This window comes from Homo sapiens, chromosome 11, assembly GCF_000001405.40.
Source record: "Homo sapiens chromosome 11, GRCh38.p14 Primary Assembly".
Taxonomy (NCBI): Eukaryota; Metazoa; Chordata; class Mammalia; order Primates; family Hominidae; genus Homo; species Homo sapiens.
In genome coordinates, this window is record NC_000011.10 from 33,171,121 (window position 1) to 33,187,926 (window position 16,806).

The 16,806-nt window shown below is 39.6% G+C and overlaps 1 long non-coding RNA gene across 1 annotated transcript in view, besides 1 other annotated feature; it reads left to right on the forward strand.

The window, feature by feature from the left end:
- CSTF3-DT (CSTF3 divergent transcript) overlaps nucleotides 1-16,806 on the forward strand; it is a 29,942-nt gene that overhangs the window by 9,464 nt on the left and 3,672 nt on the right. The window lies entirely within an intron of this gene.
- Nucleotides 6,534-7,156: an enhancer, noted in NCBI's record as "OCT4-NANOG hESC enhancer chr11:33199200-33199822 (GRCh37/hg19 assembly coordinates)". NCBI's record gives its function as "activates a minimal SCP1, AML or CMV promoter by ChIP-STARR-seq in naive and primed H9 embryonic stem cells {active_cell/tissue: H9 hESC(naive and primed)}" and the evidence as "EXISTENCE:reporter gene assay evidence [ECO:0000049][PMID:30033119]".

Sequence of the window (16,806 nt, forward strand, 5' to 3'; positions counted from 1 at the left end):
AAAACATTAGGATGCAGCAGTAAGTTTGCCAACAATGTTAGATTTTTAAAATACGAAGCTGTCAATTGTCCCCAAATTGATCTATAGTTTCAAAGCAATTACAATCAAAATACCCGCAGATTTTTTTTAAGGATATTGATGAGCTTATTCTAAAATCCATATGGGAAAAGAAGAACAAAATTGGAGGTCTTACACTACCTAGTTTCAAGACTTATCAAAACAGTGCCACACTATCCAGTGTCCTGGACACTTTGTTGTTTTGAAGACTAGTCAAGTGCAGCAGTGAGAAGGAGGGAAAGAGAACAAGGAGTTCAATCTGTAACTGACTGTGAACAATCAATTGAGATAACACACTACCTTTGGACCAGCCCTGGACACTTTGGAAAACAGTTTGTCAGTCTCTTACAAGATTAAACGTATACTTACCATATGACCCATCAATCCCACTCATGTATTTTTCCAAGATGAATAAAAATGTGTGTTCATATTAAAACCCATACACAAATGTGCATAGCAGCTTTATTTATAATCTCTAAAAACTGGAAAATAAATCAAATGTCTTTCAATTAATGTTGGATAAATGAATTATGGTATCTATATAATGAAATACTATTCAGCCATTAAAAGGAATAACTATTATATGTGGAATAGTATAGATGAATCCCAAATGCATTATGCTTAGTAAAAGAAGCCAGACTCAAAAGACTACATACTAGTTTATTCCATTTATATGACATCCTGGAAAAAGAAAAATTGTAGGGTTGGAGACTAGATGAGTGGTTGCTGAGGTAAGTATAGAAGAAGTGTTTTACTATGAAGGGGCAATATGAGAATGTTTTTGGGTGGTATATGTGTCTTCACTGTGGGGCATTTCCAAAATTCTGGCCAGGCGCAGTGGCTCATGCCTGTAATCTTAGCACTTTGGAGGCCGAGGTGGGTGGATTGCCTGAGCTCAGGAGTTCAAGACCAGCCTGGGCAACATGGCAAAACCCCATTTCTACTAAAAATACACACCAAAAACAAAACAAAACAAAAAATACAAAATTCTATGCATTTGTTAAACTCATAGAGCTATACACGAGAAAATAATGAATTTTACCGTGTATAAATTTAAAAATACTGGCCAGGCATGGTGGCTCATACCTGTAATTCCAGCACTTTGGGAGGCTGAGGCTGGTGGATCACTTGAGGTCAGGAGCTCGAGATCAGCCTGGCCAACATGGTGAAACCCCGTCTCTAATAAAAATACAAAAAATAGCCGGGCATGGTGGTGCACGCCTGTAATTCCAGCTGCTCAGGTGGCTGAGGCAGGAGAATTGCCTGAGCCTGGGAGGCAGAGGTTGCAGTGAACCAAGATCGTGCTACTGCACTCCAAACTGGGCAACAGAGTAAGACAGGGTCTCAAAATAAATAAATAAATAAATAAATAAATAAATAAATAAACCAAAGAACCAAAACATCCATTGACAGATGAATGGAGAATATTACGCAGCCTTAACAAAGAAAGGATTTCTGTCATATGCTATCACATGGATAAATCTTAAGAACATTAGGCTAAATGAAATAAATCATTCACAAAAAGACAAATACTGTACACTTCTATTTATATGAAGTATCTAAAGTAGTCAAAATCACAGAAACAGAAAGTAGAAAGGTAGTTGCCAAGGGTATTGATGGATAGAGGAAGGGATAAATACTGTTCAATGGGTATAGAGTTTCAGTTTTGCAAGATGAAAAAGTTCTAGAGATTTATTTCACAACAATGTGAATATACTTAACAGTACTGAACTGTACACTTGAAAATGCTTAGTGTTTTTAATGTTATGTGTTTTTGCCACAATAAAAAATATAGAAAAAAAGAGTTAACTGAAGGAAGTTTAACATAAGGCAGATATGAATAAAAGTGTGGGCAGGTGTTAAAAGAACATCATAGTTTGTGAAGCACATAGGACTGGCATCGTCAGCCAAAAGAGAGGAAGGATCCAATACTAGGATCTGGCAGGAACTATGGCTATGGGGAAGAATACTCAGCAGAAGCTGTGCCCCTGGGTAGAGGAATGCAGCCATTGCCCAACCTCCCAGACAGAAGCTGGGAGGGCCAGGGAGCCAGAATAATGCAATCCATAGAGGTCAGCGAGGGCTTTGCAGCATGGCTGTGGTGAGCAAATGGAGGATAGGTAGCATAACCTCTCTATCAATAAGGTTTCCTTGGTGCAAGTATCAGAAGCCTACTCTGGCTAACTTAAATAGGAAGAGCTATAGGGGAGGTCACATGAATCCAAGAAAAGTCCAAAGAAACATTGAGAAGACCAGGACAGCTTTGGAGATGGCAAAATAGAATTTTTAGATTGTCTCTTTAGGGTATTGTTGCCAGAGCGAATAATCTCTATTAATGTCATTTTGACCCTTGTGTACAGAATTGTTTTTTCTCTCCAAGGTTTTTTTATTATACAAATGTCAAACAAACACATAGAAAAGTTAACAGAATAGTACAATACCGATATAGCCTCTACCTAGTTTAATACTTGTTAACATTTTGCTATATTTCCTCTTACTCTCTATGTGTGTACATATACATTTCATTTTTTGTTAATCTTCTTGAAAATAAGTTGATGACATTCTGATACCTTAGCTCTAAATATCTTAGTACAGGTCTCCTAAGAATTAGGACAATCTTTTACAAAACCACAATACATTGTCATCTAAAGAAAATTAGCTATAATTTCATAATATCATCTAATCTGCAGCTCATATTCAAATTTTGCCAATTGCCCTGGTAAGATGGGTTTTATTTGTTTGAACAAAAATCCAATCAATTTTCACACTTTTTTTTTCTTCATGATATATGACTTGTTGAAAAAGGCAGGCCAGTTGTTTTACATTCTGGATTTGTCTTTTTTATTTCCTCAGGGTGTCATTTAATTTATACCTCCATTCCTGTTTCTTTTAAGATGAAAGGTAGCCCTGGAGGGTTGGTAATAACACTTGAGAGGTGATATTGTATACTTTATATTGCATCACATCATGAGACACTTAATGTCAGTGCTGAGCTTGATCAGTTGATTGAGGTGATCTGCTCAGGATTTAAATTTCAGGGAAGTTACACACTGAGTATAAGGCAACTATAATTGTTGTATTCATTTATTTATATTTTTATTTTTTGAGACAGGGTCTTGCTTTGTCACCCAGGCTGGAGTACAGTCGTGCAAACATGGCTCACCGTAGCCTTGATCTCCCTCACTCAAGCAATCCTCCTGCCTCAGCCTCCCAAGTAGCTGGGACTGCAGGCACGCACCACCACGCCTGGCTAATTTTTGTGTTTTTTTGTAAAGATAGGGTTTTGCCATGTTGCCCAAGCTGGTCTCAAACTCCTGGCCTCAAGAGATTCTCCCACATCAGCCTCCCAAAATGCTGGGATGACAGGTGTGAGCCACCAGGCCTGGCCAATTGTTGCATTTAAAGAGATTAACGAGAAACTAGAAGACAGATCTAAAGAAACTCAGAATGTCATCCGGAAAGTAAAAATGGTGGAAACTATGAAAGAGAGGATAAGAAATTTGGAGGATAGAGTAAAAAGCAAAAATACGTCTAAGCTGGGTGCAGTGGAACACATTTGTAATTCCAGCTAGTAGGGAGGCTGAGGCAGGAGAATTGCTTGCACCCAGGAGTTCAAGGCCAGCTTGGGCAATATAGCAAAACTCCATTTCTTAAAAATACACACACACACACACACGCGCGCGCGCGCACATGCATCTGATTAGAATTTCAGAAACAGATAATGGAATTAAGAAGAGGAATATTCCAAAAATACAATGGCTGAAAATTTTCCAGGTTTATTTTTTGTTTTTGTGTTTGTGTGTAGCTGGGACTACAGACGTTCACCACCAGGCCCAGATAATTTTTTGTATTTTTGTAGAGATGGGGTTTAATGTTGTCCAGGCTGGTCTTGAACTCCTGATCTCAGGTGATCCGCCCACCTTGGCCTCCTAAAGTACTGCAATTACAGGCATGAGTCACCATGCCTGGCCAATTTTCCAGTTTTAATGATAAATATCAATCTTTGGATTGAGAAAGCCCAATGTACTTTTAGATACATTAATGTAAAACTGCAGAACACCAAAGAAAAAGAGGACTTAAAATAAGCTAGAGAAAAAAGAGAAACCACTTACAAAGCAGTGATAATGTGGTTTAACTCTGTCTCACCAATGGCTTCCAACAATGGAAGCCAGAAGACACTGAAATAATGTCTTCCATGGCCTGAGAGGAAATAACTATCATCCTAAAATTTTATAACCAGTGAAGCTAGTTTTCAAGAATATGAAAAAGCCAAAAAAAAAAAAAAAAAGCGGGATAGTTTATCAATACAAGTCCCTCATTAATGGAAATTCTAAAAGATTCTTTCTCAAGTAGTGGGAAAATGATTCCATATGGAAAGTCTTAATATATAAGCAGGGCTTGTGAGCAATAATATTGATGAATGTGTGACTAAATCTAAAGAAACATTCTATAAAATAATATTTGACTTCGGGAGGAAAGTCCGAAACTAAAATACTGGGCACAGTAACATTGTAATTGGCATTTCAGAGATCAAAGTTAAAGCGTTGTAAGGTTCTCATATTGTTTAGGAGAATAAATATATTGGTTCATTCTTGACTTTGTTGAGAGGATATGTTAAAATAGGGCAATCATCAAAAGAAGAGATAAAGAAAATGTAAGTCAAGAGAACAGTATGAAATGAAAATTAAGGAGAAGGAACGAAATAGAATGAAAAAAACAAATTTCAACAAATCAAAAATAAAGGAAGAAAGAGGAATGTAAAACAAAAACAAAAATGACAGAAAACACAAAATAAACTTGTCAAGTAAAATCCAAATAAATCACTAATCACTATAAATGTAAGTTTTTCAACCCCTTTACTTAAAAGACCAAAATTGTCAAAACATTGTTTTTCTTTTTTTCACATGAGATGGTTCAAGCAAAACAAATTTTTTGTTTTGTTTTGTTTTTTGAGACAGAGTTTTGCTCTTGTTGCCCAGGCTGGAGTGCAATGGCATGATTTTGGCTCACCGCAACTTCTGCCTCCTGGGTTCAAGCGATTTTCCTGCCTCAGCCTCCCAAGTAGCTGGGATAACAGGCATGCACCACCACACCCGGCTAATTTTGTATTTTTAGTAGAGACAGGGTTTCTCCATGTTGGTCAGGCTGGTCTCGAACTCCTGACCTCAGGTGATCCGCCCACCTCAGCCTCCCAAAGTGCTGGATTACAGGCGTGAGCCACCATGCCTCACCTGTAAAACATATTTTTTAAAAGCAACTTAACTTCTATGAGTGATCATATCTAAAACAAAAAGACATAGAAAAATTGGGAGTCAAATTATGGGAAAAATGTATTGGCATCTATTAAGAAAAAGACCCTGAGGTAGCTGTTTTAATGTCACGCAGAATAGACTTTAAGATAAAAGAGTATTACTCATGAAGGAGATTACCCCATGTTAAAAGGTTAATTTCACCAGGAAGTTATGACAGTTCTAACTTTTATGATCTTTCTTTGTCTCTTTTGATGAATACTCATCTCCCAAATTTAGAATTCCCCAGGTCTCAGTTTAGAACTGTTTTTTAAATTTAAAAAAAATTGAAATGGGGCCTTGTTATGTTGCTCAGGCTGGAGTGCAGTGGTACAATCATAGCTCACTACATCCTCAAACTCCTGGACTCAAGAAATCTCCTCATCTTGGCCTTCCAAAGTGCTGGGATTACGGGTGTGAGCCACTGGCTTGACCATTATCGCAATCTTTTTCTTGATAATCACATTCAGTTCCATGGCTTTATTTATTTATTTATTTATTTATTTATTTTAGTAGAGATGAGGCCTTGCTATGTTGCCAAGGCTGGTCTCGAACTCCTGGCCTCAAGTGATCCTCCCAGCTCAGCCTCCCAAAGTGCTGGGATTACAGGGGTGAACCACCATGCCTGGCCTCCGTTCCATGCTTTCAAATGCCAGCTATACACTAACTCTCAAAGTTGTATCGTTAGCCAATACCTCTATTCTGAATTCCAGACTCATTAAATAAATTGCCTATATGACATCTCCACTTGGGTATCTAATAGTATCTCAAACGATACAGTCTGTAATCCCAGCACTTTGGGAAGCTGAGGGAGGAGGATTGCTTTGAGTCCAGAAGTTTAAGACTGCAGTGAGCTATGATCATGCCACTGCACTCCAGTCTTGCTGAAAGAGTGAGACCCTGTCTTTAAAAATAAAATTAAAAAATTAAAAAATTTTAAATTAATACTGGTATGTCTAAAACCAAGCTTTTGATCTGATTCACCAAACATGCTCTTTTCCCATGCTTTACCATCTCAGAAAATGGCAACTCCATCTTTCCAATTGCGTAGGTCCAAACAATGGAGTGACCTTGACTTCTCAGTTTCTCTTCCATCCCATATCTTAACAGCTAATCTAGTAAATTCTATCTTCAGAAGATTTGCTGTTAAGATATGGGATGGAGGAGAAATCTGATTGCTTCTCTCCACTCCTTTTGCCCTCAGTCTGCTCCAAGCTACAATCATCTTTCACCTGGATTACTGTGATTACCTTTTAACTGGTCTCCCTGCTTCTGCCTTTGATCTCTATGATAGTCCAGGTCCTCCGAGAAGCAGATGCCAAGACAGGATTAAATGTACAAGAAATTTATTGTGGGAAACCCCTGTGAGAGAAAATGGGGAGGGAGCAGGAGAAGCTGGGAGAGCTGTCAGACTGTGATGCAACTCAAATGAAGGAGAGAAAGAACAATGGGTGGAACATTCTTAGACTTGTGCAGTTATGAAAAATTCAGCAAAGCTGTTAGGGAGTCCTGAGCTAAAATGTTGCCTGTCGAGGAGTTCTGCAATTCCTGGAAATGGGTCTGCCTTAGTATCCCTGCTGAGAGCAGCCAGTGGAAAGCACGGGCTCAAAACCCCGCATCTGGGATCCCAGTCAATTATGCTTCCTGCAGTGAGCCATCAAGAGTGCTTTCCAATGATTGTCATGTGTATCGCTTCAGTCAATTCTCCCTAGAGTAGTCAGAGCGATCCAGCTAAAATGCTGGATCACGTCATTCCTGTTGCTTAAAACTCTTCAATCACTTCCCATTTGATTCAGAATTAAACCAAATTCCCTACATGGGCTGCCCCGCTACTTGAAAGAGGTGAGATCAATAGGTCCTCAAACCCTAAATGGAATTATCTGTGGCAGATATAGGGTAGTCTGACCAGGTAGTCTGCTCTGACTTAATTTAGTAACAATTGGAAATTTAGAAGACGGTGATTCTTAGAAAAAATACAATTTGACTTCTTTGGATCTGGCCCAAAATGTCCTTATAGTGTTGGGTCACTTTCTCAGAATGTGAGCTGATAGGATACTGATATGGTTTGGCTGTGTCCCAAATCTCATCTTGAATTGTAGTTTCCATAATCCCCACGTGTGGTGGGAGGGATCTGATGGGAGGTAATTGAATCATGGGGGCGGTTACCTCCATGCTATTCTCATGGTAGTGAGGGAGGTCTCACGAGATCTAATGAGTTTATAATGGGCTTTTCCCCTTTTGCTCAGCACTTCTCCTTCCTGCTGCCATGTGAAAAAGCATGTGTTTGCTTCCCCTTCCACCATGATTGTAAGTTTCCCGAGGCCTTCCCAGCCCTGCAGAATTGTGAGTCAATTAAACCTCTTTCCTTTATAAACTACCCAGTCTCGGGCAGTTATTTATAACAGCATGAGAAAGAACTAATAGAGATAAAAAAGAGATTGTATCAACATACACATTTACTTTTCCAGTGAAAGAATGAAGAAAACATGCATGTTTGAGGTTTTCTTGAGGGAAGTATCTAATGATTCACATACAACCAGGGACTCTTCAGGCTGAAGATAGCTTGTAATTTTTCTTCTAGTCCCCTAGTAGACTAATTTAAACCTGTTTTCTATTCATCACTCCTAGAGGTGATGACTGTTCTGGAATTAAGGTTCAAAGGAGGTAAAAGAAGGAAGAACTGTTTGGAGAAATTGTTACTGGTGGAAGGTGTCCAGGTTCTTGGTACTTTAAACAAAAGAATTGGACAAATCACACAAAGAATGAAATAACACAAGGAGAGATTTATTGAAAATGAATTCACACTCCACAGGGTGGGAGCAGCCCAAGCAAGTGGCTGAAGAGCTTGGTTACAGAATTTTCTGTGGTTTAAATACCCTCTAGAGGTTTCCCATTGGTTACTTGGTATACACCCTATGTAAATGAAGTAGTGGCCTGTGATCAGTCTGATTGATTGCAGAGTGACCAAAAAGAGGCTGAAGTGAAATTACAAAGTTACACCCTAAGCAGACTTCCGATTGGTTGTGGAAAGTGACCAATCAGAGGCTAAAGTGAAGTTATAAAGTTATACTCCTATGCAAATGAAGACTTGGCCCATGACTAGCCTGATTGGTTGTGGGAGGGGACCAATCACAGGTACTTTCAATTTTTCATCTGCCATGCAGAAAAGGGGTGGGTTGCAAAGGGAGTAGCCTCTAGTCCTTTTGTTACCCGAGCATAGGAAGTTGGGGTTTTCCTTTGGTTTAGTTCTAGGAAATCAGCATGAATCAGCCTTAGATTCCCTGCCTCCAGACCCTATTCTGCCTCAAAATCGTTGATTCTGAGGCTATGGCAAGGAAAGTCAAGTTACATTTGAACATCTTACTGTAGCAGAAAGTAAAAAAGTGCTGAAAAATTGGTGGGGACACAGAAGCCAGCTCGAAGGGGACTCCCACTGGTTAAACTTAGCATCAAAATAAATAACAGGAATGGATTATAACTCATTGATTAACCAAAAATGAATCAATGATTCCCTATTATTACAAAAAAAGAAAATCACCTTAAAAAAAACTTCAGCTGGGCGCAGTGGCTCACGCCTGTAATCCCAGCACTTTGGGAGGCCGAGGTGGGCGGATCACCTAAGGTTGGGAGTTCGAGACCAGCCTGACCAACATGGAGAAACCCCGTCTCTACTAAAAATACAAAATTAGCTGGGCGTGGTGGCACGCACCTATAGTCCCAGCTACTTTGGAGCTTGAGGCAGGAGAATTGCTTGAACCTGGGAGGTGGAGGTTGCGGTGAGCCGAGATTGCACCATTGCACTCCAGCCTGGGCAACAAGAGCAAAACTCCGTCTCAACCCCCCCCCCCCCAAAAAAAACCTCCATGTTAAAAAGTATTAGTGGTGTTAATGTGGCTTTTGAAATTTGAAAATCCAGTTTTGCTGTTTTTTAATGTTCATGTGAAAGAATAAACGTTCCTATAAAATGTCCCTACAAATATTGAAAAATTAGCTTTTCATTAGTAAAAGCAAAATTCATGTATCTTCTAAAGAGTACATATTTTACAAGCCTCATTAGACACTCTTGACACAAAACATTCAGAAATAGAAAACAAGCATTGATTAAAAGCTCTGTATTTTTCTTTTTCTTTCTTTCTTTTTCTTTTTTTTGAGATGGAGTCTGTCTGTCACCCAGGCTGGAGTGCAGTGGCACAATCGTTGTTCACTGCAACCTCCACCTCCCGAGTTCAAGCGATCCTCCTGCCTCAGCCTCCCGAGTAGCTGGGACTACAAGCACATGCCACCATGCCTGGCTAATTTTTGTATTTTTAGTAGAGACAGGGTTTCACCATGTTGGCCAGGCTGGTCTCTAACTCTTGACCTCGTGATCTGCCTGCCTTGGCCACCCAAAGTACTGGGATTACAGGCGTGAACCACCATGCCCAGCCAAGTCCCTGGAATTGAGCCCTGGGCTGTGTCTCTGCCTTCTGGGTAAATGAGGAACAGAAATGAAAATTCTGTGGGAGTCAGTGTGAAATTGCATCTTCTGCACAGGCAGAGTTTGAAATGTACATCCTAGTCTCCATCACCAGCACAGACATCTCCAGTTCATGCTTAGGTAAATAACCTGTTCTAGTTGTAGGAGTCCCAGACATTCCAGCTCCCACCACACCCATGTGGACTCACATGGAGGTCTCTGCCCAACGCTGAGTCGCAACTGCCACATTCAGGACACATGTCTCCAACACTTACATAAAGGACTTTTAGGCTGGGCGCAGTGGCTCACACCTGTAATTAGCCGGGTGTGGTGGTGGGCGCCTGTAGTCCCAGCTACGCGGGAGGCTGAGGCAGGAGAATGGCGTGAACCTGGGAGGCGGAGCTTGCAGTGAGCTGAGATCGCGCCACTGCACTCCAGCCTGGGGGACAGAGCGAGACTCCGTCTCAAAACAGCAACAACAACGACGACAACAAAAAAAAACTACAAAAATTAGCTGGGCGTGGTGGCACACTCCTGTAGTCTCAGCTATTCAGGAGGCTGAGGGAGGAGAATGGCGTGAACCCGAGAGGCGGAGCTTGCAGTGAGCTGAGATCACGCCACTGCACTCCAGCCTGGCGGACAGAGCAAGACTCCGTCTCAAAAAAAAAAAAAAAAAAAAAAAAAAAAAACCGGCTTTCAACTGAAATCATAGAAGACCACCTTTTTATAGCCTCCAAAGTAATCATTGATCCATACAATAATCATCAATAAATACTAAAACTATTATGTGAAATACTGTTGGGGAACAGGATACTCATAGTTTCCAAGTATCACTCCACAGAATATTTCTTAATTACAAAGGAAAAACATCTTTATGTCAGAGAAATCCAGGAGGACCTTAGCTGAATGTACAAAGTTTGTTTTTTGGCTCTTCTTGTTGTAGTTTTTAAGACAGAGTCTCGCTCTGTTGCTCAGGCTGGAGTGCAGTGGCATGATCTCCGCTCACTGCAACCTCCGCCTCCTCGATTCAAGCCATTCTCCTGCCTCAGTCGCCCAAGTAGCTGGGATCACAGGCGTGCACCACCAGGCCTGGCTAATCTTTGTATTTTTGGTAGAGACAGGGTTTTGCCATGTTGGCCAGGCTGGTCTAGAACTCCTGGCCTCAAGTGATCCGCCCACCTCAGCCTCCCAAAGTGCTGGGATTACAGGAATGAGCCACTGCACCGGCCTGAACAAAGTTAATGAAGCAAACTGACATGCTGTGCCCCTTGTGTTGGGGATCCCTAAGATCAACCTCAGGTTTGATGATTCACTAGAAGTACTCAAAAAACTCAAAAAAAACCTGTTCTGCTCACAGCTACAGTATCTTACAAAGAAAGGGCACAGATTTAAATCAGCAAAGTGAAAAGGTGCATGAGGTTAAGTATAGGAGAAATCAGGGGCAAGCTTCCAGTTGTCCTCTCCCAGTGGGGCCACACAGACTGTACTTAATTCTCTCAGCAACTATGTGTGACAACAGGTGTGAAGACTGCTGTCCAAAGAAGCAGACCCAAGCCCCTTGGTCCTCAGGATTTTCACATAAGCATGTGTTGTCCATGTGGCTGACTTTAGCTGTCCAGTCTCCAGACCTCGAGAGGTCAAACTGATATAGCATGGTCCAGGACCCCAGGCATAGAAAAACAGGTGTTCACGGTAAGTCAGATCGTTAGCACAAACTAACTGATCAAACAAATAATTTGGCCCAGGGCCTAAGGCATATAGAAACACTCTTATCAGGCAGGATAATTGCTCAGAGGTTACCTTCCAGCAGCAGGTCAAGGTCCAGTCCTTTCTTGGGGATGTTTGAACAGTCCAAGCCTCCTGAGTTAACCCCTTACAGAACACTCCCTGATATGAAAAGGGCACAAATCAACAATGTAGTATACTGCAAAAATATCTTATCTAGATATAACAATGAGGAAACCATTAGAGATCCCAGGATTGATCAGCTTGGCAAAACAATTGTCCTGACTCTTTAAAAAAATGTCAATTATGGAAAACAAAAACAAACAAAAAAAAGGGGGCAACTTTTCTAGATTAAAGGGCAACTTTTCTAGATTAAAGGAGACTTCTACTTTTTATTTCTATGGTTTTGACTGCTTGAGATACTTCATATGAGTGGAATCATAAAGGGAGTGTCTTAAGTAACATGACTATGGGAGATGGGACAAAACAAGAGGCACTTGGATTAATTTAATAAGTGTCCTGTTGAATTTAAGAATATAATGTTTGACACATGCACAAGCAGATCAGTAGCAGACTTAGGGAATTACTATTAGGCATATTTCACTTAGCATTATATCCTTGAGGTTCATCCATGTTGCAGCACGTGACAGGATTTTTAGTTGATCCTAGAACTAGTTCCTCATCTTTTTTTTTTTACATAGCACAATGTGTGATCCTTCACAGATATTCCATTCTATGTGTGTATCACATTTTCTTTTTCCGTTCATCTGTCAATGGATACTCGTGTTACTTCTACCTCTCGGCTACTGTGAACAATACCAGGATGAATATGGGTGTGCAAATATCTCTTCAAGACTGCTTTCAGAGACGAGGCACAGTGGCTCACTCCTGTAATCCCAGCACTTTAGGAGGCTGAGACGGGTGGATAACTTGAGCCCAGGAGTTTGAGACCAACCTGGGCAACATGGCAAAACCCGTCTCTACAAACTCAGGAGCTGATCCTGGGGAGGTCAAGGCTGTAGTGAGCCGTGATTGCACCACTGCACTCCAGCCTGGGCAATGGAGTGAGAGCTTGTCTCTAAAATAAATACATAAATAAATAAAGGACCCTGCTTTCAGTTATTTTGGATGTATATTCAGAAGTGAGACTGCTGGATCATATGATAAGTCTATTTTTAATTTTGTGAGGAATCTTAATACTATTTCTCATAATGGCTGCACAATTTTACATTCCCACCAACAGTACAAAGAATCCCAATTCTTTCAAATCCTTGCCAACACTTGTTTTTTTCTGTTCTTTAGATAGCAGTCATTCTAATCTGTATAGGGTGATACCTCAATGTGGTTTTGATTTGCCTTTCCCAATGATTAGCAATGTTGAGCATCTTTTCATATGTTTCTTGGGCATTTGTGTGTGTGTGTGTATACTTTTTTATATATGTATACTTTTATATATATACATATTTTTTTTTTTTTTTGAGACGGAGTCTTGCTCTGTCACCCAGGCTGGACTGCAGTGGCATGATCTCAGCTCACTGCAACCTCTGCTTCCCGAGTTCAAGCGATTCTCCTGCCTCAGCCTCCCCAGTAGCTAGGATTACAGGCACCCTCCACCACCCTCAGCTAATTTTCATATTTTTAGTAGAGACAAGTTTTCATCATGTTGGCCAGGATGGTCTCGATCTCCTGACCTCAGGGGATCTGCCCACCTTGGCCTCCCAAGGTGCTGGGATTACAGGCATAACCCACCATGCCCGGCCTATTTGTATATATTTCTTTTTTGAGAAATGTCTATTCAAGTTTTTTGTCCATTTTTAAATTGTGTTTTGTTGTTGAGTGGTAGGAGTTTTTTTTTTAAATATATTCTATATATTAACTTCTTTGATATATGATTTGTTAACATTTTCTCCCTTTTTGTAGGCTTTTAAAAATTCTGTTAATTGTATCCTTTGATGCATAGGAGATTTTAAGTTTGATATAATACCATTTGTCTATTTGTGCTTTTTTTTCTTGGTAGAGATGTGGTCTCACTATGTTGCCCGGGCTGGTCTCAAGGTCCCAACCTCAAGCGATCCTACCACCTCAGCCTGCCAAAGTGTTGGGTTTGCACATGTGAGCCACTGTACAAATTATATTTTTCCTTTTGATGCTTGTGCTTTTGGTGTCATATCTAAGAAATCATTGCCAAATCCAGTGTCCTGAAGATCTTCCCCTGTTTTCTTCTAGGAGTTTTATACTTTTAGAACTTATGTTAGGTCTTTAATCCATTTTTAAGTTAATTTTTGTATATGATATAAGGTAAGGGGCCAGCTTGAATGTGGACTTCCAGGCAGCTATTGCTTTTTTTTTTTTTTTTTTTTTTGAGATGGAGTCTCACTCTGTCGCCCAGACTGGAGTGCAGTGGCATGATCTGGGCTCACTGTAGCCTCCACCTCCTAGGTTCAAGAGATTCTCCTGCCTCAGCTCCCCAAGTGGCTGGGATTACTGGTGCGTACCACCACGCCCAGGTAATTTTTGTATGTTTAGTAGAGATGGGGTTTCGCTATGTTGCCCATGCTGGTCTCAAACTCCTGGCCTCAAGTGATCTGCCCACCTTGACCTCCCAAAGTGCTGAGATTACAGGCATGACCCACTGTACCCGGCCAGCTATTGGCTTTTAAACTTCTTTTGACTGCTTGTCTACCAAAGGCCTTATTATAATATCATCATATATTTACTCCTAAGGGCATGAGAGTGGTCTTTTCTTGTTTGGTTTTCCAATTTAATTTAATAGGAAAACTTATCTCGGTTTAATTATGTAAATGTTAAATATGTGTGATTTTCTCTCTAAATATATTTGAATACATCAGTGACAAGTACATTTTTATATATCTTACAAATGAATAAAAGGAAAAAGAAAATCTTCCAAGCAACTCCAATAGTTCTCTATAAGTGCTAATATATGAATGTTAGTTGATAGAAAAAGCAGTATTAACAGGAAGAAAGTAATTTATTAGTTAATTTGCTTTCCAAAACTAAAACTGTAATAAGAGGGCTCTTGCTTAGAAAAGGAATGTTGAAAACAACCTCATATGCTACACATTGCACTAAGTATTCCTCCAGAGAAAAATAGAAGAATGCCTTAAATAATATGATAGTGGAAGATGGGACAAAACAAAAAGCACTTGAATTAATTTGATTAGTGCTCTGTTGAAGTTAAGAATATAGGGTCCTACACATGTACAAACATAGAACAGTAGCAGATTTAGGGAATCACTATTAGACTGCACCTGTTGGAGTCCTCGGTGAATCCAGTCCTTGTTTAAGGCTTCCAGTTGGAGCTGGCAGTTGTTGTAGGGATTAAATTATTTAAAGCCTTCAGCTGGCTAGTGTAGGCAAGCAGTAGCTTAGAAAACACTTAATCTATTTTTTAAAATCTGTTCCTAAGTTTTCTTTGCTTAGGCTGTAAGACTACATGTAACACCCACCTGCCACATTCTGCAATCTTTTAAATTTATCCAAGAAAAAAAAGTTTTTTGAGGAATATTTATATTTTAATACAATGTGCTTATTTTGAACATAATCTATTTGTAATAAACAAATCATTTGCTAAGTATCTAAAAACATATTGTTTAAATTAATTTCAAAAGGAAATTACCAAATTACCTATTTTCACAGCCATCTTTTAAATTTTATTTTTAATCATAGTTAGAGGGGCTTTTGATAACCAACATTATGTGAACCCTTTCAATAGAAACATTATTTTATTTTATATATTTTTTTAGATGAGGTCTCGCTCTGTTGCCCAGTCTGGAGTGCAGTAGCACAATCTCGGCTCACTCCAACCTTCACTTCCCCAGTTCAAGTGATTCTCCTGCCTCAGCCTCCCCTGTAGCTGGGATTACAGGCATGTGCCATCACGTCCAGCTAATTTTTGTATTTTTAGTAGAGATGGGGTTTCACCATGTTGGCCAGGGTGGTCTTGAACTCCTGACCTTAAGTGATCCACTGGTTTCAGCCCCCTAAAGTGTTGGGATTATAGGCGTGAGCTACTGCACCTGGCCAGAAACATTTTTTTAAGCCAGCTCCGTATATATTACATAATTCGGTAACACATTACAATGTATTTAACTTCTGTTTAGAAAATTAGAATCACTTAATAAATCTTACTGTGCTTTGGAGTGACCTAAGGAATTTTTTTTTTTTTTTTTTTTTTTTTGAGATGAAGTCTCACTCTGTCACCCAGGCTGGAGTGCAGTGGCTCGATCTCGACTCACTGCAACCTCCACCTCCTGGGTTCAAGCGATTCTCCTGCCTCAGCCTCCCGAGTAGCTGGGATTACAGGCGCCTGCCACCATGCCCAGCTAATTTTTGTGTTTTTCGTAGATACGGGATTTCACCATATTGGCCAGGCTGGTCACGATTTCCTGACCTCCAGTGATCCTCCAGCCTCGGGCTCCCAAGACCTAAGGAATTTGTATAAAACCTTCCAGATAACTCAGAAGCTGAGGACTTATTAGGCAAATCTACTTATATGTAATTAACTATTAGAGGTCCACTGTATTTTTTTTGCTGATGAAAAATACAAAGATTTTCTTTCCTACTAGAAATTTTTACCTGATATTATGTCACTATCATTTCTTTGAATTTGTTAGATATACGATAGATTAAATCAATATGTTTCCGCAATAAAAGAACTGATTCTGACATCATTCATTATCTAAAGTTCTTTCTTGGCTGCGTTTAAAAATAACAAAACTTTTGTTTCCAAATGGTGAGATATGAAGTAAAATAACTTCGGTGGGCATATATTCTTATTTTCCTAGAGTTTATAGTAGAATTCATGAAGCAAATAAAACCCTGTAAAATAGGTTTAAAGTATTGAAATGTAAAATTCTAAACTTTTTCTGTTACTAGTCTCGTTTGTTTATTTATAAAGCTAACAATTTTTATAACCTTCTGTCTTTTCCTCCCTAAGACTTTTTATTGCTTTATTTTTAGAAGCTTATTGTGGGCATGATTAAGATGAAAGCAAAAATTTTAGATATGTAGCAGAGGAAGAAAATACATTTAGGACAAACTGCCTCTTAAGTAGAGAAAATAATAGTTGAGCTATTCTAGTTGAAATTTCTTACTTGGTTGCAAATGTACCCTCAAAAGTGGAAGATGATTTTATGCAAAATGTGGCTGTCTGTGGAGAGTCAATTTGGGCAAATTAAACTAAATGACCTAAACATTTATACCAGCTACAATATTGTGACTTTTATATAACTACTTTTATTCAATCAGGTACAATTTCAT